The 27,427-nt window shown below is 43.6% G+C and overlaps 1 protein-coding gene across 3 annotated transcripts in view, besides 1 other annotated feature; it reads right to left on the bottom strand.

The window, feature by feature from the left end:
* The window catches only part of LRMDA (leucine rich melanocyte differentiation associated), a 1,128,545-nt gene that overhangs the window by 568,340 nt on the left and 532,778 nt on the right, over window positions 1-27,427 (bottom strand). The gene's annotated exons all lie outside the window — the stretch shown is intronic.
* Window positions 23,969-24,726: an enhancer, noted in NCBI's record as "VISTA enhancer hs320". NCBI's record gives its function as "enhancer in: neural tube[10/12] | hindbrain (rhombencephalon)[10/12] | eye[9/12]" and the evidence as "EXISTENCE:transgenic organism evidence [ECO:0001131][PMID:17130149]".

The following is a 27,427-nucleotide window of genomic DNA, read 5'->3' as shown; positions in this document are numbered from 1 at the left end:
GCCTCAGTATCACTTGAATTGGAAGCCAGAGATTTAACTCTGTGAGCTTGGCCAGTTGACTGTGCTAGGTTTTAGTTTCCTTCTTAAAACAAACAAACAAACAAAAACTATGAGAGGATGTGAGACACAACATCACTACTTCCCACTCATCAACTCTAGTAGGTACCACTCATCAGTCACGCATCTTTCCTGCTAAACACGGCTATGGGTCAGAATTTTTCTCAATTCAGCACTTCTAGAAGCCACCACTATATAGCTTTCATATGCAATAAAATGTATTTGCCATCCCTAAACAAGATGCTCCTTGAGATTCCTTCCTGTTATGACATGTTGATTTTACAGCTGATTACCAGATGCTTACAGATGTAGAGATTCAACCAAACCCTTTAGCTTCTAACAGGAAGAGGTCAGAAAGAAGCTCAGTTGGACTAGAAAAAGATCAGGGAACATTAACCCAATAACAGATTCCACGGGCAGAAGAGCCCTGGTGGGTAAGAGGTACTCAATGCATTTTATTGTATTCTGAGACCGTATTTTTTAAAATGTCCATATTAAGGTCATTTCATACCCATTCTATATTCCCTATCTTCCACTCGACAGCCAGCAATTATGCACACACACCAAAAATACATGTATCTCTATATGTGTGTATATGTACATACATATGTATATGTATTTTCCAATCCTGCTCTGAGATGCTTGCCATACCCGAGTTCTCTCTTTAGGCCTCATATACAGAGATCTGTAGATTATTTATTACAATTCTAAGTCTACACTGTTTACCATCTTGACAATTTTGTGAGATATCACCTTCACTTTATGGAGGAGGAGGCTGAGGTCCAGGGAAGTTCAACTGCTATCAAAGAGCTGTACTAACTTAGGGAAGACTTGGAATCCAAACAAGCCTCCCAGATCCACACATCTTACTATGGTCCCACGATGGCCTCCACAAGGCTTCCCTTCCTGCAAGTCCCCAGAAGTCCTCCACACCCACAGTCCTCCAGCCCTGATCTTTCCCATCCCTCATTCGAGTCCCAGCAGCCCCTGGCATTTCCTAAACACACACTTAACCAAACTGGACCATTTCCTCTTTATTATCTACACAAATATTCTTAATTATTTCTCCTCCAACCCAAAGTACTTATTTTTTATTTATGGGTGTAAATATAATGCCAGAAGGGCTCATATTTCACAGGGAGCCATTCCAATGGCATCCAGAGCCTTCCAAATTTAAGGAGCAAGAGAGCTGATTCTCTGCCCGTTTCATTATAAAGGGGTTTACCATAAATATTAGAATTTGAATTCCACCCAAGTAATGCATTAATAGCTACTAAACCATTAATAATTTCTGTACTTTTTCATAAATGGGCAAAGTCCAATAAATAAACCATATCTCTTTCACAGCAGAGCAGGGTTAACAAGTACCAAGGAGATTTCAAAGACAAACTACTGGTAGGGGCTGCCAAGGGTAAGATTCATAATGAAACTACAAATTCTGGAGGCCCATTTTTTTCTGTCCACCATGGCAAGTATCTAAAATTAAATGCTAAGCAGAAATCCATCCTGGAATCTGACACGCAGCAGTTTAGGTAAACAATCTCTGAAATTAAAAACAGATTCTGGATAATAAATAAGTCCGTGTGTGAGACGCTCTGATAACAGATACCTCTCCCCGATAAATCAAAGGCTCTAGCCCTACAGAGCCTTTCTAAATTAGGCCAGATGATTTACCTAAAATATTTCATCTTGTGTCACCTGTCTTAATGAACGGCAGAATGGATAGCTTCTTACCAGTTATTGTATCAAGGCCGGAGACCTCTAGGCTAATTATACCCAAGGCCTAAGGAGGCCGGCCTGTCTGGGAGGAGCCTGTGGGGTCTCAGGAGCGGGGGGGATTTCACCATGACACTCGTTTACCTAGGTCTCCTAACTTCAGCCTACTGGGGTCACCTGCAGCTGCCCTAGAATTCTAGAAGCCTGAATCAGCCATGTCAGATATCAAAGATAAACAGCCCAGGGGACAGAAGAAATAAGTTCAAGTTCACTGTTGCTAGCTGTTTGAACTTGAACAGACCCCTGGCTATCTTTGGGCTTCACCTTTCTCATCTGCAAAGTGGGATAATAAAACCTTCCTAGCCTACCTCATGGGGTTGTGGTGAGGAAAGCAAGAAAATGCACACAGAGGCACTCTGTAACCCATGACACCCTCTGCTGCTGTTACTATCAGTCATTGATACAGTTTGGATCTGTGTCCCCACAAAATCTCGTGTCAAATTGTGATCCCCAACATTGGAGATGGGCCTGGTGGGAGGTGACTGGATCATGGGGGTGGTTTCTCATGGTTTAACACCATCCCCTTTGGAGCTGTGGTTGATAATTAATTCTTGTGAGATCTGGTTGTTTAAACATGTGTGGCACCTCCCCCTTCTCTCCCTCCTCCTCCAGCCACATGAAGTGCCAGCGCCCTCTTTGCCTTCGGCCATGAGTAAAAGCTTCCTGAGGTCTCCCCAGAAGCAGAAGCCAGTACACTTCCTGTGCAGCCTGCAGAACCATTAATCCTCTTTATAAATTACCCAATCTCAGGCATTTCTTTATAGCAATGCAATTAGCATGGACTAATACAGTCATAGTAACAGTCAGTCATTTACTCACCAACATTTATTGAGCATCCCTGTGTGTCAGATGCCAGGGATACCCCAATGACTACAACGGATGGGACCCCAGCCCTTGTGGAGTTGGATTCCCGCAATGGAAGGCATGCAACCTGCATGGGAAATGAGGGCTGCAGAGTGTCGTGGAGGACTCTGAGGCTGTAGAGAGAAAGCAAGAAGCAGAGGTAGCTGGGGTGGGAGAAGGGGTCATTCTCAACAGGGAAGACTGTGCAAAGGACACATCTTTTAAGCAAAGATGCAAAGGAAGAAAGAGATACTGAAATAGAAATAGAAGGAACATCAAGGAAAAAGACATCCAATAGGTCCGAGGAGCTGCAAGGACAGGCCGCACCCACTGGCATGGAGGGAGCCAGGGCCAGGGAGGAGGCTTGAGGGCAGAGGTCAGGGGCCAAGGGGAGGGCAAGGTCTCCTGGGCCTTGGGAGCACTTGGGCCTTCAGGAGATTTCTTAGCAGAGGAGTAACAGGGTCTCATCTAACATTTTAACAGAGCACTCCGTGGCTGCTCTGCTAGGAATAAGAGCAAACAAATGTATTATTATTATACTAACATAATAGTATATTGTCATTGAAAGACTCTGTTCCGGTCTGCGTGAATCTTGGTGGGAAAGGGAGAAATGAAAAGAGAGCTGGGGGTGGGGGTGGTCTTATGTTTTTCTAAATGCTCAAAATTAAGCCTAGAGAGGCATGTGTGCATGTTGGGGGTGGGACATGGAGGCAAGAGTGGGTGGCAGGTGAGCCCCATGCTGAATGTAGAATGGGGAACCACCTGGACACCCAGACCTGTCTCTGGGTCCCCTGTTCGGACTCACGGCCTTCAAGGTGGTGGAGGCTGGAGGGAGGAAGAAGGGTGGTGGATAGGAAAGAGAAAACTGACTTCTCCCAAATCCCACACCTTTGCAGCCATCAGTATAGCTGCCCAGTGTCCCATGCCTTTCAAGCCTGGGATCTGTCTCTTTATTAAAAATGAAAACAAAATTTTGTTTTTAAAGCGGGGAGCAACCATATTTTACCAGCATTTGGTGTCAGCGCAAGTGGCAAACACAACATCCTAAGAGGAGCTATCGTGCCTCCTGCTTCAGAATGGAAAGTGACACAGAGGTCATTCCATTAGTGATCGCAGCTGCTTTTAAACGAAACACATATAACCTGAATCCAATTAATGAAAGTATCTGGCCATCCTCACAGATGCTAATGCCAAATGAATATTTAAACCTTGCTCATTCACCAGCTCTGCATTGCACTGTAGTTCAAAATCTCAAAAGCACATGCTAATTCCTGAATGAAGGAAATTATGACTCAGCATTCCTCTTTTGATTTCTGGTGACTTGGCATTTGTCATGGGGCTGGGCTGCCCAGTGCTCCCTCCCTGGACTTCTGCTGCTTCTGCAAAAGAATGGACAGCCCCAAATGCAACAGGGTCCAAAGCTCATTCTCTTACCAACAACCCACAGAGACCACAGATTTTCACTGATTTGCCCACACAGAGCCATCTGGAAAGACTTCGAAGTGGAGAGGGTGATGGGGTGGGGTGAAGGTGCCCAGCTCTTATGGCAGCCAGTGGCAGTCCAGCCCACTAACCATAATACAGGATTCAAATCTGGTCATCCACACGACCTTCACAACTATTGCTACACTTCTATATCACTCTGCTTTAAACTGGTGGTTTACACTACTTGGGGCATTCATGCTATAGGGATACTTATGTCTGGAAATGTTCTGTGTTGTCACAACTTTGGTGGGGGCAGCTTCTGCTGGGTAGAAGCCAGGGACACTGATAAGTAACCTGCAGTGCTCAGGATAACTCTCCACAACAAAGAATTATCTGGTTCAAAATATCATTAGTGCCAAGATTAAGAAACCTTGATCTAAGTTGACCCACTCCTCCTTATATTTATTTTTAAAGGGAATTTTATACAACTATCATAAAGACCAGGATCATCTGTCATAAGCAGAAGGTGCCTACAGTCATAAGTAAAAAGTATTCAGAGAAATATGTACAGTGAAAACAAAATAATTTAAAAATGTAGTTCAGACATAGTGACCTACTGAAGGCTTTGAGCCTGAGGGCTGCTCTCTTAAAAAAAAAAATCCACACGTAATAGAAACATTAAAGACACAGCAGCTCCAAACTAAGACTTTCTCCTCATTGTGGCCAAAAGGACAGAAAGGAGAACTGAGAGGGAAAAAGCATTTCTTCACACAATTAATGATGTAGCTATGCACCTCCAAAATCATCTTGGGTACCACCAGTAGATGATGATACCAGTAAAGTGAATCTCAGTCAGTCTTCCCAGACTCCAAAGAACAGAATTACTGTGACTAGTTCTTGAGGAGAAAACCCAAAGAGGCAAAAGACAGGAGAAGCTGGTGTTATCTGATCTGCGTTATAAACCTCTCAGGAAGCTGGGTGTGGTGAGAAGCGTGGCCTAGGCCTGGGGAAACACTCAATAGGTCCCTTACAACATCCAAGACTAGACTGGGTAACAGGTCTTTCCAGATGGCTCTGCATGTGCAAATCCATGAAGATGTGGCTAATTCTGTGGGCTCTGTTTTATGAACCATGTTCAATACTATACTAGTGTCATGAAAGAAGTACACCATCATCACATAAGCTAGTTGTAATGCCAGGTTAAACAACATCTAAAAGCTTTCATTATTGCCAAACTTCTTGGAGCCATTCATATGACAACGAGCATTGCAAATGCCAATCCTCCCTCCCCCAGTGGAAAGAAGGTACAACATCTTTTAATCTGTCAAGACACAAATTGTTGTTTCTGTTTTTGTTTTCCCACGAAACACCTAAGTCAATCCTGGTATTCCAGGAAGCACAGCCTGAGTAACTTAGTCCTGGAGGAAGAAAATATTTCCTTTTCATCAGAGAATATGAGAGTTTCACGAGATTGTAGTTGTTATATTACCCATACCTCCGCCAGAAGGCAGAAACCATATCTTATTGATCTTTAAACCACTGGTGTCTGTTAAATAGTAGGTACTCAAAACATGTTTATTCCAGCTCATGACTCTCTCCTCACTAACTCTCAGAGCTCTCCAAAATAATAGGTTCTAGCAATGGTTAAGATCCATAGGCCCAAACAACCACATTCCTTCATTCTAAAGCCTACAATAAAAGGGATGCTCTGAATTTAAAATGCTGTCTAGAAAACATCTTGACCAACTCCTGTTGATACAAGAGCCTTTCTACCATGTTGGCTTTATCATCCAGTCTGGCCACCCAAAGCAATGCACAGGTTTGATTTTCCTTGTTTCTCCATCTTCATTGAACCATCACATCAACAGCTCTTCTCCAGGACCCCTTTTCGCTTCATCGCATCTTCCTTTGGCGGGTCTTTTCCTGCCCAGTGTGCATTCACATCCTCCTGTACAAGTACCCTGATGTGCCCCAGGGAAACTCCTCCCACCTCCCTCCATCTCTGAGTTCTGTGGAGCCAACTCCACCTAGGCTCCAGGCAGGCACAGAAACTGACTGGCCAACCAGGGTGTCATCTCTCACAGACTGCTGAGGTTGGTGGGTATGTGGCCCAATCAGGGACTGGAAGACCCAGTCTGGGATCTTGTGGAACTGCTGGTGAGAGGAAATCTCTCTTTTTTGACTGAGGTTGATGAGAAGAGAATATGAAAGCCTTGTGGAGTTCACAGCCACGTTGCCTCCCTTAGGGGAAGTTTACCTGGGTGTCAGCAGCAGGGAAGTAGAGCTGTGAGGTGGCAGGAGAGAGATGGCAGCAACTGTGTTATTTGAGCCTGTGGCTCTAGTCAGGCCTGGAGTCTTATCCACTCCTCAGTTTCTCAGACATGTGAACTAATAAATTTCCTTTTTGCTTATGCTAATTTAAGCTGAGATTCTGATTAACAGAACATGGAAAACGCTGGATGCCATGGTTGGTATCTCTAATACTTCCTCTTATTTACTTTCTCTCCTTCATTTTTATACATTTCCCTTTACTTTTCCTACTCACTTCCTTTCCCATTTCCATCGTTTCTCAGAATTCTCCCTCAAAGTCAGAAAAAAATAAATATGAGAAGTTCTGCTAACTGCTCACACCCGCTCCCTCCAACAAGCCATTTCTCACAAAAGACCACTATCTAGGCTCTCCTCATCTGGGAGACAAGGAGTTCAGCCACAGATAAGTTCATATAAAGCCTATGTACCTAGGCTGCTGTTGTATTAATACAAATAATTAGACAAAATATTCATCCTACTATAATGCATCAGGTTTTCAGGCCTTGGACTTGGACACTTCATTTTCTGAATTGAGGCTCATTAAGAATGCCTTTTGAGCAGAGGGTGAGGAAGAGTCCAACAGCTTACGTTCTTGAGCCCACTTCTCTCAGACTGGGGGTTTGAACAGAAAAATGCAGCAGCTCCTCCTGAAATCTGAGTTTCAAAATGCAAAACGCATCCCCAGGAATTGAGAATCATGGCCTTCACTTTCAGCATTGCCAATGAAAGGGCAATTTGGTTGGCATGCCACGTGAGCCCTCTGCCTGGCTGTGACATGCGCTGATCTTATGTAGGATGATGCGGTCCCTTGGTCCCCCACACAGGGCCACGGACAAAAGAGGTAAACACTATCTGCTCCTGCTCATGCAGCATGAAGGAGGTGTTCTTCCCGCTTTAGGCCCTGTGAGTGGGACACGTTCCCTTGGACCGTGACCAGCCACATGGCTGCTTGTCTCTGCAGGCCCTGGCAGGCCTTCCCTTTCCCTTCCAGGAGGACACAGGGCAGAGAAGTTGACGGCTCCATGGCCTTGACTGTTCCTTCCCACTCAGCAGACCAGGCCCCAGCAGGGAAGCTCTGCGTAGGCCTGAGCTCTTGTCTCTTTCTCCTCCTCCACCTGCTGGTTTGGATATCCTCCCCGCAGGGCACAGATCCCCAAGAATTCCAGGCAGCCTGGCCTTGCAGGACCCAGGGCAGCTTTCTCCAGCCATACGGCCAGTACTTAGTGTCCTCTTGCTGCAGGGAGATTAGCTCAGCAAGAACCCAGGTAAATCATGATGTCGTTGAAGGAAAGACTTGCCATGTGATATGCCCAGACACTGACATTCTCACACGACCTTGTGGTGCACGGCTAGTTCCTTCCCTGTTCACTCCCCCTGCCCTAGAGCTGCCTGGCCGGCTCCCTGCATGGGGAGCAGCATTGTGAGGAGGAAAGGAAACTCAGGACAAATAAAAACACACTGGGGGCCGGGCGTGGTAACTCACACCTGTAATCCCAGCACTTTGGGAGGCCAAGGCAGGTGGACCACTTGAGGTCAGGAGTTTGAGACCAACCTGACCAACATCGTGAAACCCCATCTCTACTAAAAATACAAAAATTAACCAGGCATGGTGGTGGATGCCTGTAATCCCACCTACTGAGGAGGCTGAGACATGAGAATCGCTAGAACTGGGGAGGCAGAGGTTGCAGTTAGCCAAGATTGTGCCACTGCACTCCAGCCTGGGCGACAGAGCAAGACTCTGTATCAAAAAGAAAAGAAAAGCATTGGAGACGTACATGTACGCGTATGTATATGCACACATATACACATACCTATTCACATACATAGACGCATATTATATTTGAAAATGTATAACTTGTAAGTGAGAGCTAATGAAGGAAAAATGAAAATGACTTGGGGATATTACGTATGCATGTGTATACATATATACACACATATATGTGAAGGATTCAATGACAGGTAAGACCATCATCATCGTCAGAATCACCTCTCCCTCACAGAACCCCCGCCACACTCAGCCACTTCAAAGTAAACTGGGATCATGTTTCGAGAGAAGAGATGGAAAGATATACAGCAATGCAGTAAATGAGAAATGAAGAAAGACTTTCCAAGTTAGTGAATGTGAAATTTTTATTTGGCTCCTGTAGCCCTTTCCTTGTTCCTGCTATGGTTTTAGCTGATCAATGGGACCTACTGAACAACTAAGTGCTTTCACATGGTAAAAACTGTCCTGGCAGGCTTCGATGGCTGGATGCCCACATTACTCACATCTAGGATTGTTTACTACAACCCGAGCTCCCCCCTGCCTTCAAGTGGAGGTTGACTTGCAAAGGAGGCAATGTGGTCCTGCAGAGAATGCACAGGATGCAGAGTCAGACCCTATCTACATTTACATCCCTGCCTGGTCCATGTGGGCTATGTGACCTTGAGCAAGATATTTACCCTCTCTTGAATCCCAGTTTTTTCACCCACAAAACAGGGATATGAATGTGCTCCTTGCGAGGCTGCTGGAAAGGCTGGAAGATAACGTATGCAATAGACCTGTCTAGAACAATGCCTGCCACATAGTGGGTGCTCAACAATAGAAGCTGCTAGAATTAAGCTCATGCCCGGTCCTGTGTCTCTAAGTTCTCTCTCCTTTTCTGTTCTGAATAAAGTAAGGCAAGAACCCAAGTACCATGTAATAATAATCTCAGGTGTTTTGGATGCCTTTTTGAAGACATCTACCAAACTCCAGTTCAAAGCCACACCTTGATGAGTCCTAGGTCACCACTATCTTTTAGATAACAAATAAGCTAAAATCATTAAGGCCAGCTTCACCTTTAGCTTGCTTTACAGAATCTAGTCATTGTAGATACTTTTTGCCACCCAACCAATTCACAGAGACCAAGCCCAAGCATTGTGGAATACTGGCCACTCAAGCTAACAGGGGGAATCCACACAACCCCCACAACTCCACAATGGTCTCGTGTATGGGAACTCTGGGGACCCAGAGAATGTGAGTAACCCAACTGGCATTACCCTGCAAGGCAATGCGGGGTCCAAGGATGGTCAACCATATCACCCACTAGGCACCCCAGAAGTGAGAGGGAATGTAAGGGGGAATCGCCCCTTTCCAAGTGAGAGAAGACAGAGGCAATCTGAAAACCCCAATCAGTTCAGCTTTCACTCAGCCTACTGTCTGTGTAGAGTACCACAGTAAATTCTGGTTCACCCCCAAAGGCACTGTGTTTGTAGAGAGTCTTCAATAAAGTAAAAAATGCCCTAAGGAAAAGAAGAGATCAGTTCACTGTTTCCCCCAGTTGAGGGTGGCATTCACTGGCATGAGAGTGCTGGATATCAGGGGAGATTTGACAGGTCACCTGTAGCAAAAAGGGGGGCACATATGTAAGAAGAGAAACACTGGAGGCCAACTTCACCAACATGATTTTATGTCGGGCAAATCAACACTCCCAAACTTTAACTGTGTGTGTGCACCAGCTGTACCTGGTGTATGAAAGAGGAGCTGGCCAATATTTATCTTTTTGTTCCATCCTATCACTCACTCACTTTTTTTTTTTTTTTTTTGAGATGGAGTCTTGCTCTGTCGCCAGGCCGGAGTGCAGTGGTGTGGTCTCGGCTCACTGCAACCTCCACTTCCCACGTTCGAGTGATTCTCCTGCCTCAGCCTCCTCAGTACCTGGGATTACAGATGCCCACCACCATTCCCAGCTAATGTTCGTATTTTTAGTAGAGCTGGGGTTTCACCAAGTTGGCCAGGATGGTCTCGATCTCTTGACCTCGTGATCTGCCCGCCTCAGCCTCCCAAAGTGCTGGGATTACAGGCATGAGCCACCGTGCCCGGCCCACTCACTCTCAAAGAGCTTAAAATGTATGGATAATATTGTCCAATCAAAGCCAAAGAAACCATTCCAGTAGAAGAGTAACTATTGCATCTGAAAACCCACCCTGTTATATGTTATTTCAATAGATGAAGATGAAAAGGGAAAAAGAGTCTTTGCTGATGAAAAGATGCATACAGAAACCAAGTCTGCTCAACCTCTGCAGTGTTTGCCCAAGTCAGCAATACTCCACGGTGCCCTGCATGGCACCTGGCAGAGAGTAGAGCCCAATAAACATTAGATGAATGAATGATACAACCCAGAAAACATATCTTCCAATTGTCAGACAAATGGACTTAAATGTCTAAAAAGCAAACCAGCAGACACACAGACACACACCAAGCCAGCAAAGAAACTATTTTGTTCAAAAAGTGAAAGTAACATGTGAAATAGTCACAGCAAATTTCAAAAGTTAAGAATGTAAAAGTGAACCACTTTAATAAGCAGACAATGTGTATAACTTATAACACTGGAACTTGCTAACATTTATAACAACCCACAAATATATCCTTGATGTTTGTGATTTGACATAAAGTTGAGCTGCCAACTTTAGATGAAGTTCTAGTTTAAAACATGCTAGGGGAGAGTTCTATAACACATGGATTGGGACGCACACACGTTACCAAAGGGTTAATATTAGAAGCAGTATTGACTAGTTTCATTCTGGTTGCTAAGCAACATTTCTTCCTTCCCCCAATGGTCTGAGAGAGAGGATAAAAAGGGCAGAAAATGAGAAATGTTGGAAAAATAGGAAAGTGAAATTCAATGGATCATGAGGTACAATTTGTAAGAAGAGTAAAAGAGGAAATAATTCTTTCAGGATGTAGTAAGACATCAGTTGCTTTGTGACATCATGAGAGTAACACATTGAGCCTCCAGCTCCAAAGAGAAAGAGTGGAAGATGAATGTCCCCTAATCCCTGCATCATGCTGCTCATGTTCAGTTCACACTTAGCCAGACACGCACGGGTCCAGGATGACAGCAAGCTGACCTGCATGACAGAACATTATAGCCCCCCTGCCAAAAAAATCTATCAAGTTCACGAGGCCCAACCAAACCTTACCCACTGTAAGTCACTGTCCCATTCCTTAAAGGACCTTCCATTCCCTGCATATCCGAAGGGCCCCTGGTAGGCGATTCATGTATTCAACAGTATTGACTGCGTGCTCTCCATCTGCCAGACACAGGGCTGGGTGCTGGAGAAGGGGGAGCAGGGCCCTTGACTGATCACTCACCAGTGTGCTTGATCCCTTTGGTCATCATCTCAGTGTCCCATTTTTGTCAGGATCCTATGATACAGCAATTAAAAAACCTTAAAGAATAACCTAGGAGACATTCTAGGACAGACCCACAAGGCTACTGAACTGTTTGCTGCCTTTAATCTCCATCACGAATTATCCCTTTGAGTGAAGACCTCAAGTCCATGTTGAGAGTGAGAGAGGACATGCCAGTGTGAGGACAGTGGGTATCTGGGAAGTTGCTGTACCTTCTGTTCAATTTTTGCTGTGAACTATAAGTACTCTAAAAAATAAAGTCTATTAAAAGAAGAAAGAGAGAGAAAAGTAAATTATTCAGAAGAAAAAAACAAAACCTTGTCAACAAGCCCATTCTAAAATAAATGACCCAGAGAGGGCTACATATTAGTCTATTAATGTCCATTTTCATAGATTAGTTCATTAGACTAGCTTTTGCCTGTTGTGTCCTGCAGGAACACAGATGATGGACAGGGCAGTTCTGAGAGTGGGAAGGGACCTGGGAAACAGCTGGCACATATGGACTAGCTGGTAATTGGGGTGTGGGAAGAAACATGGGGAGGAGGGGAAATCAGAGGGTCCTGAGTGGAATGAAGGGGTCCTTGACATCCAAACAGAGAAGGGGAAAAGGGAAGAAAGGGCACCAAAAAGGACATAAACAAGATGCGTTTATCAGCAGGGACCTTGATGCTGGTCCCCACGGGATGTTGGGAAAATTACTTAACCCTATCCTAGACTAAGTTTCTCCATCTATAGAATAAAAAGAACACTTAGCTTACAGCACTGGAAAAATTAAAAGTAATATATTTAAAGCATACCCCATGGTACCTGGCACCATGTTCAATAAACTCTAATCAATGTTATTATCATATATGGAGCCACTTTAAACATAAAGCACTAGTTTTAATTGTTAATAAAGTCATTATTTATAGCTGTGTCTAAGACTCTCCTGATTAACTGCCAATCTCACTCCTCTAAGCCAGTGTTTCCCTAATTTCAGTCACGCATGTACCACCCTTGTAATTTCTGCTCTATTCAAATGTCATCTATTGTAATCATTATTATTAATAATAGCAGTAATATAAGCCATAATAATAACAATAACAACAGAAATAATAACAATAAGAACAATGACTAATGTTCACGGGCTACTCATCACATGCCTGGCACTATTCTTAGAGCTTTATAAGTACTAACCCATTTGGTCCTTATCACAACTCTGTGAGATGGGTACTATTATTAATGCCATTTTACAGATAAGCAAAGTGATGCATGGAAAGTCCAAGGTCATTTGGCCAATAAGTGGCAGGTTACAGATTCAAACTCAGGCCCCAGGACCCACATTTAGCCACTGCACAGATTGCCTGGCTCATCTCTATATGCCGGCATTTACTTAATTTTTTAAACATTGATGCAGTTAAATTTAGACTTAAAGAAAAACATTATAACATTGTATCACACTGTAGGAGATCTGTGAAATCCTGGGTTTGATATGTAATTATAATATGGTTGCATACAAAAAATTATAAGATTATTCAAATAAAAAATGTATTTGTGCCACCTAAAATCATCTAGGAAACAAAATTTAATACTGCTTTATGTACCTGGGAATTCCTTCAACCTCAAGTCACAAAACCACAGGACAATACTGGAAACTCACTGATAGTTCACTGCGTCCACACCCATTCTCCACCTCCTGCTTTGTAACAGAACCTGGATTTTTATTTGGCATGTGGCTGCCAAGCTAAACGATTCCATTTTCCTTTCAGCTAGCTGTGGCTCTGTGACTAAACTCTGGCCAATGAGATGTCAAAGAATGTCTTACGTGGGACTTGCTGGAAGTTTCCTTAAGAGGTAATGAGACTCCTGTTTGTTCCTTCCTCCTCCCTGCTTCTTGAGGGAGGAATGCGCACAGAATGACAAGAGCACAAGCTGCCATCTTGAATCATGAGAAAATATGCTAAGAATGTCAGAGCTACAAAGAGAGGGAACCAGGGTTCCTCATGACACCATGAAATTATCACACCAGCCCTGCAATACTTCCATACTCCTTTTATGTGAGAGAAATAAATCTCTACAATGCTAAGTCACTGTTAACTTGAGCTCTTCTGCTACATGCAGCTAAGCCTCATTCTAATGAACACACCATCCATCCCTTGCTCCAGTGCCCTCCATCTCCAACCAGGAATAACTCACTGAGAGGATCTGTCCCCTAAGTTGTAGCCAATGAACTGAATAGCCCTGGGACAATCAGCATGCCATTTATGTGTCCATTTATAAACCACTCTCCTCCAAACGCTTTATATGCAGTATTCCATTTAATTCCCCCAACAAACTTACAAGACAGGGACCATTATGACCATTATCTCCACAGATGCGGAAACTGAGGCACAGAGAGGTTAAGTACCTTGTCCAAGGTCACACGACTAATAAGTGGCAGAGCCAGAACTCAACCCGACAGTGTGACACCAGAAGATGAGTTCTCAACCCTGAGGCTCTCTACCTGAAATGAAACAGGCATCAGACCTGGACCCTCAGAGGGACTGGCTTCTTCGAAGCTCAAAGGGCTTCACCATCATAGGCCGTGGGCAGCTCCCCAAAGGCTAAAGTGACTTTAGCCTCTCTAGAGATCACCCTGGGGGCCCTAGCAAATGCTTTCTGTCATCCTATTAACACTACTTTCTAATTAGGACCAGTGCAAACCTGATACTTAGGCAGAAATGTCTGTTTATTTATTTATTTTGCGTGTGGAAAAAAATATTAAAAAGATGTCCAAAAAGAAGATTCAGAAAATCTTTGCTCCTGCCCCTCAGGAATTCGACTCAGCTCCCCAGATGCCCTGGACAGAGGGGGACGTGTGGCCCCCAACAGTCACCATGGAGTTAACTCATATTTCCCAGGCCTGGCACATGTTCAGTCAAAAACCTGGCGGAGTGCCTGTTGTTTACTGAAGCTGGGGAAGAAGCATCTGCAACATTACGAAAAGCATATTGTAAAAGGCAACACATGCAAATTAAACCTCTTGAGCTATGAGTAAATTGCTGGGAAAATTTATAACTCATTTAATAAAACTTGAAGTAAATACATAGTCTGGCTCCCAGGGAAAACAAAATATTTCCCACAATTCTCTTCTCTTTAAAAAAGGAAAAAAAAAAAAAAGGGAAGAAAAGAACCATCGAGCTAGAGGGCTCTATCTAGTATAAAGTATAAATAGCAAATGTGGTGTGAGCAGACCCCATTTACGGTTATGGGGCATTTCATACCCACGTAGACAGTGCCATGCCCTCTGCTCTTGGAGGTTGACAATGTTCAGGCCTAAGACATTTCCACAATAATCCATGATTGTGTTTACCCAACAAAGCTCTACTGAGCATCTTCTATTCATTAATTCACCCAACAAGGGTTTATTCAGTATCTACTAGAGAGGCATTGTAATGTGGCGATTAGGAACACATGCTCTGGAGCCTTGAATCCAGACTCTGCCACTTACTAGCTGTATGCCCTTGAGCTACTGCATTCATAAACCCTCCATACCTCAGTTTCCTCATCAGTAAAATGGGAATAATAATAATATCCACATCCTGTGGTCATTGTAAACACTAAATGGCTTAATATATGTGAAGGGCTTGGGACAATGCCTGGCAAATAGTAATACTTTGACAAATATTAACTGCTTATTAGTTATTAGCTGGCATTATGGTTCAGCCCCTCTGCCAGGTGCAGGGGGCATAGGATTGAAAGAACAAGGTAGGTGAAGGCCCTGGCTCATGGAGTTTATACTCTACTGGGGGTAGACAGACAATACACATTTAGGCAAATGAATAAACAGCACTTGTGAAGATAATAATACGTGATCTGAAGAAAACAAAAAAGCAACAGAATAGAGAGAGACTGCCAGTTATAAGTGGGTTATATGAGTGTTCGAGAAGGCAATATTTGAGTTGAGACCTAAAAGATAAGAAGGGACCAACTTAACCAAGAATGTTGTATACAAAAGGAATAGCTTGTTAAAGATTCTAAGATGAATGAACGAATGAATAGGTTTGTTCTTTTTGAGTGACCACACAAGGCCAAGGGGCCTGGCATGTACAGAGTAGAGAGAGTTCTGCAGGGATGAAGTGGGAGACGTTGATAGGACCAGACCAGACCAGGCCTTGTAGGCCATGGAAGGACTTTGGATTTTACACCAAGTGCAACAGGTAACTGCTGGAGGGAATTCAGCAAGAGAGTGACAGGAGCTGATTGACAATTTGAACGCCCACTCTGGCTGCCATGTGGCAAATAGATTGTAGGAAGAAAAGAAGAAAAGGAAGAGAGCAGTTTGGAAGCTACTACTGTTGTCCCAGAAATATGTAATGGTGGCTTGGCCCAGGGTGGTGGTGGAAGAGATTCAGGAAACATTTTAGAATTAGAGCTGACAGGACTCTGTGATGAATTGGAAACGGTGGTGAAGGAAAGAAAGAAAGAAAAAATGACTCTGATTTTGGAGAGGCCTGGGATGCTCATCAGCCTGAGACAGATGCTGTAGAATATTGAGCAGACATGATTTCTATTCTAAAAGAACTTTAGAGATAGTCACAGCAGCCTAATACACACAACATAGAATCAAAGGAAGATGTGACAGAAGTGCCTCTGTGCATCGTTCAGAGTTCAAGGCCCAAAGAAAGGAGAGCATGCCATGGGCAGTTTTCATGGAAGGCCACAGAAAACAGGGTACCCAATCTGTCCTCGAAGGACACAGTCCCTGGCACTCCACAAAGAGTGTCACATGAGCACATGTGTAAAGGAGGAAAGCCCAGAATGGTCCACCCCAAAGAAACAAGGAAAGTCACTCCACAGAGACGATTCCTCTATCCAATTCACTGCTGTTTTACTGAACCATCTCCTGGAGATCTGGTGCTGAAGGGAGAATGGGAGGGAGGTAATGACCTCACTCCTATTGGGTCGTCTTTGTTTCCATCCTTCAGAAAAAAATCAGGAAGTCCTGGGAAACAACCATCAGTGTAGAGGCACTCAGGCAAGTTGGGCAGTAGGACAGTGGCTTAGAGCCCAGGGCCTTCAGCCCCCTAGAGCTGCGTGACCTAGACAAGTTACTTCTCCAGTCCTCAGTGTCTACAGAATGGGATAATTATGGTACAGCATCTACCATGCAGGATTCAGTAAAATAACTCCGTCCCAAAGGACTTAGTACAATGCCTGACCTAAGATGAAAGTTACCAGTAGTTTTTATTTAAAGAAATGCTGGTCCTTCCATAGCATCTGTAGATCATCTGTCATAGCTTGTACATACTTGGTGGTCATCGCTCATTAAAGCATCCATCTTCCTCATTGGTTTTTAAATACACAAGTGAACTTTTTGGGGATTGTGCATCATTATTATCAGCAGCTAATACAGTGCCTTGCATTAATCCTCATCATGTTAATAATACTGCAATTATTATCTATGGTATATATTTAGTAAACTCTCACTATGTGCCAGGTATTATGCCAAGCATGTTGTAGGTATGAAATTTTAGGGGACAGGATGGCAGTTAGGAGCATAGAATCCTTCCTTTTGAATCTCTGTTCCATTGCTCACTACCTGTCTGACTTTTGGCAAATAACTTAACCTTTCTACAACTCAGTTTCCTCATTGGCAAAATGAGGAAAAAGCAATACTTACCTCATTGAGCTGCTGGGAGGATTGAATGAGTTCATGAATGTGAAACTCTTAGAATAGGCCTGGCCCTTAGTGTAAGGCTATAAAAGCAATAATCATGATTATCAATAACAGCAACCCTATGAGTTAGGTGCTGCTATCCTCATTTTACAGACAAAGAAACAAAGGTACAGAGAAGTTCAATAACCACCCAAATGGCCACAGGTTTACTAAGAGGTAGAATCAGGATTTGCACTCAAGCAGTCTAACTCCAGAAAGGAAATGACTAACAATGATATTTTGGAGGTAGCAATGTTGAGCATCCCACTTTGCTGTGTAGCTCATCCCCTGAATGCTTTGGGCCTGAACACCATGAGTCATGGTCAAAGTCAGGCTCAGCAAGGTGTGTTTGCCTCCCCTCCATGTTGCCCCAGGGAACAGTTAGGTGGAACCAAGACACATTTGTGGATGGCAGAGATGCTATATCTGCAGGGGAAATTAACAGAAGAAAGAAGAAGAAAACTGGGGACAATGGAATACCACAGATAGAAGATGCAAAACTGGCCCCTTTAAAAGTGAAAAATGTGTTGTTTGTAGTTTTGCCAACATCTATAAGACGACTACTGGGGTTGTTCAAACTATGTGCCAAGCCCTGACAGGAGAGCTCAGACCAATAGGTAAGTTTGGCTCCACAAAAGACCTATATCAAGCTCACATGGTCAGGCATTTTGGGGCCCCTTTTGTAGAGATTCACTCTAAATCCAGGTTGCTTTCAACTATAGAACTTTTCCCTTTGAGTTCAGGTGGCCTTTCTCCTCCACCTCCTGGGGTACTTCTGACCCCCACTACCCCACCGCCCCCAAGTCACGGTGCTGTCATTATTCATCTTAATTCAGCTGCCATAATACTGCATAAAGGATGAGGGCCGCCAGGCATGATGGCTCACACCTGTAATCCCAGCACTTTGGGAGGCCAAGGCGGGTGGATCACCTGAGGTCAGGAATTCGAGACCAGCCTGGCTAACATGGTGAAACCCTGTTTCTATTAAAAATACAAAAAATTAGCCAGGCGTGGTGGCAGGTGCCTGTAATCCCAGCTACTTGGGAGGCTGAGGCAGGAGAATCGCTTGAACCCAGGAGGTGGAGGTTGCAGTGAGTGGAGATCATGCCATTGCACTCCAGCTTGAGCCACAAGAGCAAAACTCCGTCCCAAAAAAAAAAAAAAAAGGACAAGGGCACAGGCCTCACCTGTCCAGCAGGTCATTATGATTTCTGTGTCTCCTTACACAGTGGAAAAAAAGACAATGATGGCATATGAGAACTGCACATGGCTTAAGGCCTTGAGGCAACAGTGTCACATAGTCCTGAGTTTGAATCCCAGCTCTGTCACTTACTTGCTGCATGGCCTTAGGCAAGTTACTTGAGTTATTTAATGAATCTGAGCCTCAGATGCCTCATCACTAAAATGGGATGAAAAATAGTACCTACTGCAAGACTACTGGAAAATGAGTGGAGAGTGGATGTGAAACACTTGGCACAGTGCCTAGAACATAAGAACACGTAAACAGGAGTAGCTGCTGCTGCTGCTGCTGCTGCTGCTGCTGCTGCTGCTGCTGCTGCTGCTGTTGTTAAAGTGGTTTTGTCCTGAAAGGACTTACTCCCAATATAGTCTTAATTTCCCCAGTGTAGCACACAGGGTAGAGGAACTCAACACAACCTCTTAACTGGAACTTGCAGAAGTGACATTCCAGGAAGCCCCAGCCCCAGCCCCAGCCCCTCACATGCCTATTTGTGTGGGCTGTAGATGGTGGCAGAGGAGACTTGGAGATCCCAGCACAGGAGAACTTTATAAACTCCTGACAATTCCTCTAAGAATAAAGGCAGAAGATGACGGCTTCTGACGCACACTGCTGCAGGCCTCTCTCCGATCTCTCATGTATTTGGACATCCCTCAGGCCCATCAGAATCCAGAGATTGCTGTCTGCTGACTGACAACAGAAAGAGAAATTTAGAGGTGTGAGTGAAATGACAGAGCTGTCACGGCTGCCTCTGAAACGACTCTTTTCTTAAAGAGAGAAAAGATAACAGTAAAAAAAAAGAGAAAATTCTCAGACAGCTGCTATATCCTGTCACAGTTGCAGAGAGAGGTTTTTTGTATTGTTTTTCAAAAACGCTTCAGATGAATTTTTAAAATGAGAAGGGGAAAATAACCCAAATTTTAATCTCAGTCTTTTATATGAATAGGATAGGATTTGGGGACAAGTTTTTTCCTTGGGACACCATAGAGGAAAATGTCAGCTAGATAGTCTTCCCTGGGGTTAAGGAGAGGTTTTCTCGCTCTTTAAAAAATATTCATTAAAAAAAAAAAATCCCAAACTCCAAAATCCAGACTCCAAAGTCTCCTTCTTTCCTTTCACTGAAACCAGCTCATGAATTCAGATGCTAATTCTTAAGTGGACTTATAACCAACTAATGCCATATTAGTCATCATCCCTGGGCTGCTATGATTCTAGCACATCGAAGCCATGTGTTTGTCAAACATTCAGAAAACAGCTGAAGCGATACATCCAAGAGCCAGATCTCACTCCCCCTTTCTTGCCAGCCAATATTTCCTCTAGTGTTAGTTATTTTAAATGTCTTGTTTCTTTCTTTGACATCTGAAATATGAAAGACTGATCATTTGGAGGGTTTTCTTAAAAACAAACCACTCTCCAGATGGAAATCCACAGGCTGACGACATCCAGCAACCCTTTAACCACACAGAAGTCGTTGGCCAAAAAGATCATGTTTCAAAGGCTCCCATTTTGTTGGGTTTTCTGAGAACCCTAACTTCACTATAACCATGAGAAGAAACAGATTCCCAATCTCACCCACAGGTCAAGCACAGCCCAGAAAGGAATGCCTTTATTAAGATAATGTCTTGAAATACCCAATAATTCTAATAGCAACTAAAAAAACAGATCATAATAGATGGAAGGAAATTGCAGTTGGAGTGTTTTTCCAAGAGTCCAAGAGGGCCAGAATAAGAAACCCCATCCTTGCTTGTAAAATGCTCCAGGAGAACCACAAGCCTACACTGAATTGCTGATTGATGTAACACTTGGATTAGAAATATACCACATGAAATACAATTTCCAGAGAGGAAAAGGAAGTTCTTGATGAGCCTGGTGAAAGAGTGATAAAAGCTTCACTCAAGGCTTCCACTTTAGTATCAGATTGTGGGAAACTGTCATTGAAACAACCCAACTGAGTCCATTAGCCATTCATTGACAAGCACTACATAAACCCTTAACACCTCCGCTAAGAGAAGGCCCCATAATCACCCTGTTTTCCTGCTGCGAGAGGAGAGAAGGGAAAACAGCAGACGGGGAGGCTGTCTATAGCTACCCCAAGAACAAAAGACATTTTTCTTGATGGGGAGAGAAAGGGAAGAAGGAAATGTCCAAAGGAAGGAGAAAACAGACCAATGTGAATTTCTTCTCCTTTTCACCAATATCTCTACATGGCAGTACTGACTCAGGGGTGCTGAGAAACCACTCACTATGGAAGAGCAAAGGGAATAGTATTGGACCAGGATTGAAAAGCCTGGGTCCTGGTTTTCACATTTACTGTCACTGAGGAGGGCTCATTGGTCACCTCCTCCAGGCCTTCACATCCCCAGCTCTAGACCCAGGGCAACAACTACTGCCCTTTCTACCTTCTCAGGTTATTTAGAATACCCAATATAACAATGGCTGTGAAAGTATTTTCAAGATTTTTAAACACTGAACAAATAGAAGGTACCACTACTTCTTTAGATGTTATGGAAGTTAGGACTCAAGAGCTTCTTGTGCAAGTCAGCTCACACGGAGCTGAGATTAGGATGGATAGGAATAAGAAGACACAGTAAAAAGGATGTGGTCCTCTGTGCCCATCCTCTTCCAAGCCCACACTGGGCCTGCCCATCTTCAACCCTTCCTAAGCTCTTCAACAAGTTTCCCAGCTTTCTCCTAACTTTTGGTCCCCAGGGGTACCTGAGAGAGAAGGAGGGTTGGGCAACTAGAATACAATCCCATAAGCTGGCCTCATAAAATGCACAAGCTAGAAAGCACCATGATGCACAGTGGGACCCAAGCAATTAAAGTACCAACTAGATGGGAGAGAAAATGAAGGTGGCTTTCAAGAATGTTTGAGCAGCAGAACTTTTCCCCCAAATGAAATCCTTTGCAGAATGCAGATACAAGTAGATAAAGGTAGAAGTGCTGGGGCTTAAGGGGAGGTAAAGGGCTCAGAGTCCCCATCACAGCTCACCTGTGTGGTGGCACCATGGAAAGGTCTGAAATCCCATGAATGTTTCATCTCTTTCTTTTATGGGTGAGGAGACTAAGGCCCACACAGGAGAAGAGATGGGCCCAAGGCCCCAAAGCTAGCTGTTGGTCAGGCCAGAGCTCAATCTAATAGTCTCCAGCCCACTCCTTTTCCACAAATCACACTACCCCTAAAGGTGAAACTAGGGGGAAGATCAGTGTTTGATTAGAGAGAAGTGGATACAAGTATCCAGAGAGCTACCTATTGGACACCTCAAAAAAAGTAGATGTGTCTTGGGGTCATCAAGTGGCAAAGGTCAAACCAGCCACATGATCAAGGTTGATTTTATCTTTCAACCTGAATCTCATGGTAGCATGCACAATCTTTGAGGTCTATCTCAGACAATTCCATTTGTACAGAGCCCTTGATAAACACAGTAGATATCCCAAATACTGTCTATGATATCAGCATTGGAGCAAAGTTTCACCCCAGTCCATCACCATCCCAATGTACAAGCTAACTTTTGGAAGACATTATATTTAAATATTGGGTCTGAGGACTCAGAGCTCAATTTCCTCAAGAAATAATGTCACTGATGGTGGTGAGTTTCCTAAAAAAAGTCCAGGGAAGCCTATTTGACACATAGTTTAAGATGCTACTAAAGGCATCATCCTTCTTTCAGAAAGAGAAAATTAAAGCATTGGGCTGATGCTTCTAAAGGTGTCAAAACTGATGAAAGGTACCAAGAAGAAAAAAGGAAACATGGCAAAATTATCATAATAAGCGTGAGCTTGTGAACATAAATTGATGTAAGCCAGAAGCTTTACCAGCTCAGCTCCACTGTGCTGAACCTCAGTATGCCCATCACATCAGGTGTACATGCCAGTGGGGGAGAATTTTTGACTGAAACTGTCTCCTTGCTTAGGAGGAAAGAGAACCCAAAAATGGCTGTTAACATGATTAAACACATGTGAAAATTCTTTGAGAACAGTAATGCCAAATACATGTCAAAGGGATTCTCATTATTGGTAAGGTTATTATTACTGGACCGACAACATAAGTAGTTGCTCAATCGAGCAACAAGCAAGGAAAACAGACTTTAGACTCAAAGAAAAGAAGCAGCTGAGAGCCAGATGACCACAGGACAAACCTCCAAGTGTCTTTGTGGGATTTTCCCCTAAAGATATTAAGGCAACATAGACAACCATCTAGGGAAGCACCAGATTCACCCAAGAGGCAAAGAGAAAAGCCAGAGAGTACAAGTCCTTTCTTGCAACAGCCAACAGTGGCTGTCAGTGTGGCTTAGGAAAGCCATTGGTCTTTAAAGGCCTGGGCTTTATTATATTACCCAAGTTGAAGGGTTTTTTTTAATTGTTTAATGGTTATTTTTAATGAGGGGCTGAGGGCTAAAAGCAATCAGTATAAAACAGAAACAAAACCCATACTCACCTAATTACAAATTTACCAAACTCAATAGCCACATAAACAGCTATAGTACCCTCAAGGTTCTAGGTTTGTTTTCATGTTCAAACAATTTTTCCACTCACTTGCTGCACTTTTTTCATATTCCATGCTCTAATTCACCCTCCAAAAGATACCTAAGGGTATGAATCTCTAGTGGGACAGGAATGAGAGGAAAAACAACAGTTTTTAATGATAGCCACTTCATCAATTTGGCCCTTATTTCCCCAGATTTTAGCCCTTAAGCTGACTTATCCCTGCACATTATGGTGGCTCCTAGTTTAATTGGATAAGTATTTTGCCCACATTCTCTGGCAATGCTGTTTTTTAGAAAGTATCCGGCAAGCCCCTAATGCTACAGAGGCACTTGAGCATGCAAGGCCACAGGGAACATTCTAGAATGTGCAGCCTTCCCTCTATCACTCTGGAACTTAAGAGCTTAGTAGAACCTCCTCTCATGACTGAAGCTTTAGAGAGAAGCCTGCCATGGTACAGCCCTTGCAAAACTTCCTTGGTGAAAGATGGGCTGGTCTCCCGGCCAAGGAACTGTAGCTGCTTGTGTGGATTTTTGAGAGGAAGAGAAATGCCTCCCTTTTCCATGCTGCTGGGGCACAGATCAGCCCCACAACTTCTATGAGCAGCCACTCCTCCGGAAGGGTCCCTCTGTCCTTACAGCTCTAGTGGGGCTCACAAGAGCTCCCCACTAACATGATTCACAGGCCTATCCTTTTGAGCCTGCTTGACCCTGTCCACCAAGACCACAGACCAGGTGGAGAGATGCTGCGAGCACTCCCACTGCAGAGCCAACAAGCCCCCTCCCTCACCACCATCAGAAAATTTTTAGGTTAATGCAAAACTGTCAGGCCTACTAGGCTTCTCATCATTCACTCAGCACTTCGCCTTTAATCTAAGGAATACCCACAGAGTTAGCAGGAGGCAGTAGTAGGGAGTGGAAGGGGGTCTTAAATGGAACGGGACACATTACAGGTTCCTCCTGACCTCCCTCAAGAACAGGCTCTTCACGGGGCCCTGTCTCCACTGATGTGGGGAAAGGGTTAACTCGTGGGCCTCCCAGGGAAGCTGCTGGTCCTTTCTTCTTCCCCTCCTCAGCTCCTCCCCCACCCCTGCCCGCCGCCTCCCTCCTCTCCCAGCTCTGTGTCCTGACCTTGCCGGTTCTGTGCCCCATCCATCTTGGGCTGCTTAGCCATTTCGCTGGCTTCATACTGTGCAGATTAACACAATTCATCACCACAATCATCCCCGATTCATCACCCTCTCCAATGAATGTTTTGACATCCAGTTAATTTTCTGCTGATGATTTATCAAATTATAATTACCATGCTCTGAAGGACTCATTTATTATGTTGATACATGATAATGATGCCAAAGTGGATTGAATTTTAAGTAAGTTCTTTGCGATTATAACATATGCGTTATTGTGAGTAATGTTATACAATTTAGGTTTTTACAGCCTGGAAACTCCTGGGACTCTCTTAATGTTATAATAATCAATGCAAAAAAAAGTCAGATTGTTAATTCAATTTTTTTTTGTACAAATTGTTTGGCTAGGGAGCAAGGAGCATGAAAAAGTTCAATTAAATTCAAAGCTACAGTTTAAGATGCTATGTAATTAAAGAATACAGTAATTTAATTGGGAGTTCAGCAATAGACCAAGTGAATTAGACATACCTGAAAATGCCTGAGGCTGGAAAATCTAGAAGTGCCACAAAGGAGGGACGAGGGATTGGAGAGCTCAGCTCTACCGCACAAAACCTGAAACTCCTCCTGCAAGTCGAGGGCAAACCCCAACACCTCAAGGAAACTTGTACTGACTACCCCAGTCTAAAGGGAGCTCAGCCTCCTACAAAGTCCCTACCATATGCCTGATCTGAACAACTCACTGGCTTTGTCACACACTGTGTGAAGGCAACAGCCTTGCCTCCTATGGGGTGCAAATGCTAAGGGATACTATTAGTTGGGTGTATATCTACTGGGTGCCAGGTGCTAAGGAGGTACCTTCCCTATCTTGTTTGATCTCATAATAGCCTCGCAGGGCATTATCTCCATTATATAAACAAGGTAAGCATAGCCTGAAAGGCAGGGTAATTTGCCCAAGGTCACAAAACCAATAAATAGCAGAGCCATGATTTGAACTCAAGAATCTCTAACTTCTAAGGATCTGCTCTTTCCTACATTCCCCTCAGCCCCACAAGTATTTGTCCACTGCTCCTAAAGCACTGTTGCCCATGCCAGGTGACCAAGGGACAACTGTAATTTAATGGATTCACTCATTTGTTAGCTAACTTTTGGAGGGCCTTCTAGGTTCCAGACACTGTGTAGTTACCCAAATGATGAATAACAAGGACCCCTGCCTTCATGGAATGAACAATGTACTGGGTAGGACAGCAAGATAGAGGACCAAGGAGCAGACTTGCTGCATGCTGTTCCCACCACCCAGAAATGACCATTTCCTAAGCACGGTGCTAGGTGCTTTCCGCGTATGGGTTCGTTGAATCCTCAAAATCACACCATAAAGTAGGAGGTATTTTCACCCTCATTTTACAGATGAAGAAACTACATTCAGAGTCATGAAGAAACCTGCCTAAGGTCACAAAGCTAGTGAGCGGGAGAGAGCAGAAATGCTGGGATTCACACCCAGGCTCTCGTCCACCCACATCTCCCAAAACATGGAATATATATATCCCATCAGTGGGACACAAGGGCTCTTTTGCTGATACACAGATAAACATTTAAATTTTCACAATTATGTAGCTACTTTAGTGGATGATAGGAAGACATGAAACTAGCATTGCACCCTGGGATTTTCCAGATCTTATTTCTTAGGCCAAGACAAGGTAATAAGCAATGATATGCTAGATTAGAATTGCAGAAGATATTAAGGAGATAAGGGTACAGGTGGTATGAAGCAATACAGCAAAAGCAGAAAAGGTTGCTACATGAATGGCTGATGTTTGGGCTTCACTGAGCTTCACTCCATTGCCTCCCTATAATGTGTATAAACCCAGTGTCAAGGAGCCAGGGATGACAGATGATTGGGCACCATAGCTCAGGTACAACAGCCACAAACCCTCACTTTGGAGAAATCTAGGATTCTGGATTTCTGTTTCACTAAGCCCAAGACTAGAGTTTGAAGTTACCTAAAGACTTACTAAATAAATATTTTTAGAGAAGTCAAGATGCCATGGTCCTGAAATTGTCCAGAAAAGAAGAGAAAGGAAACTGAGCCGGGCCAAGCCATAACAGCACCACAGAGCCCAACAAGTAGAGTTTTGGTTTTTTTTTCTTTTCACAGTGGCCTTCAAATTCACTAGTGGAGTGCGGAGAAGTAAAGAGCCCACTCATGGAATTGGGATGCCATTCATCTAAGCATACCTCATTTACAAAGTTTAGAAGTCCTAAATGTCAGTTCTAAACTAGTCATGCTCCATAAACATAAAATATATTTCTAAAGATACATTCTCATAATTTAGAATTGATTTCAAATGGTTATGAATCCAAACTCTTTACTTGTCTTATTCCCTGCCACACTGCCCCTACCTAGTTTATGCAACAGGTAATGTTTGTTACTCAGTAAGATTACTAATAATTATTGTAACAGTATAGTAATATAAGCAACAATAATTAATATTTGACAGCTTGTTAGGTACCAGGTGCCAAATACTTCAGATGCTGCAGTGCCTCACTTCTTTCTATAGCCCTTAGAGTTAGGTGCTATTGTTTTCTCCATTTTACAGATGAGGAAACTGAGGCTTAAAGAGGCTAAAGTAACTTGCTTAAGGGTGCCAAATAGTTCATGTTAAAACTAGGCTTCAGGCTGGGTGTAGTGGCTCACACCTGTAATCCCAGCACTTTGGGAGGCCGAGTTGAGTGGATCACTTGAGATCAGGAGTTCAAGACCAGCCTCGCCAACATGGCGAAACCCCATCTCCACCAAAAAATACAAAAATTAGCCAGGTGTGGTGGCACACACCTGTAATCCCAGCTACTTGGGAGGCTGAGGTAGAATTGTTTGAACCTGAGAGTTGGAGGTTGCAGTGAGCCGAGATTGTACCACTGCATTCCGGCCTGGGTGACAGAGTGAGACCCCATCTCAAAACAACAACAACAAAAACAAACAAACAAACAAAACCACTAGGCTTCAAACGCATGTCTTCTGGCTCCGGATCAGGCACTCTTAACCAAGATCCTATCTAGCCTCTATACATGAGAGTTTACTGAGAACCTTCTCTGTGCATGTACGGGGGTAACGCCTTCTGCAGAGATCTGCTTTATGGTCATAGAACTGTCCTCCTAATTCCACCAGTTTGATCATCTTATGTATAAAACTTTGCTTAAACCTACTAGTCTAAGAACAGATTTTAAAAGGAAACAAAACATAAGGCTATGCCAACAGAGCCTGGCCTCAAATTCACTCTCATATTGATATAAAGACAGTTTATTAGTTCAATTCATCTAATGTCTGATTTTATTAAATGG

Source organism: Homo sapiens, chromosome 10, assembly GCF_000001405.40.
Source record: "Homo sapiens chromosome 10, GRCh38.p14 Primary Assembly".
Classification (NCBI taxonomy): Eukaryota; Metazoa; Chordata; class Mammalia; order Primates; family Hominidae; genus Homo; species Homo sapiens.
This window is presented reverse-complemented; position numbering and strand designations above follow the sequence as displayed.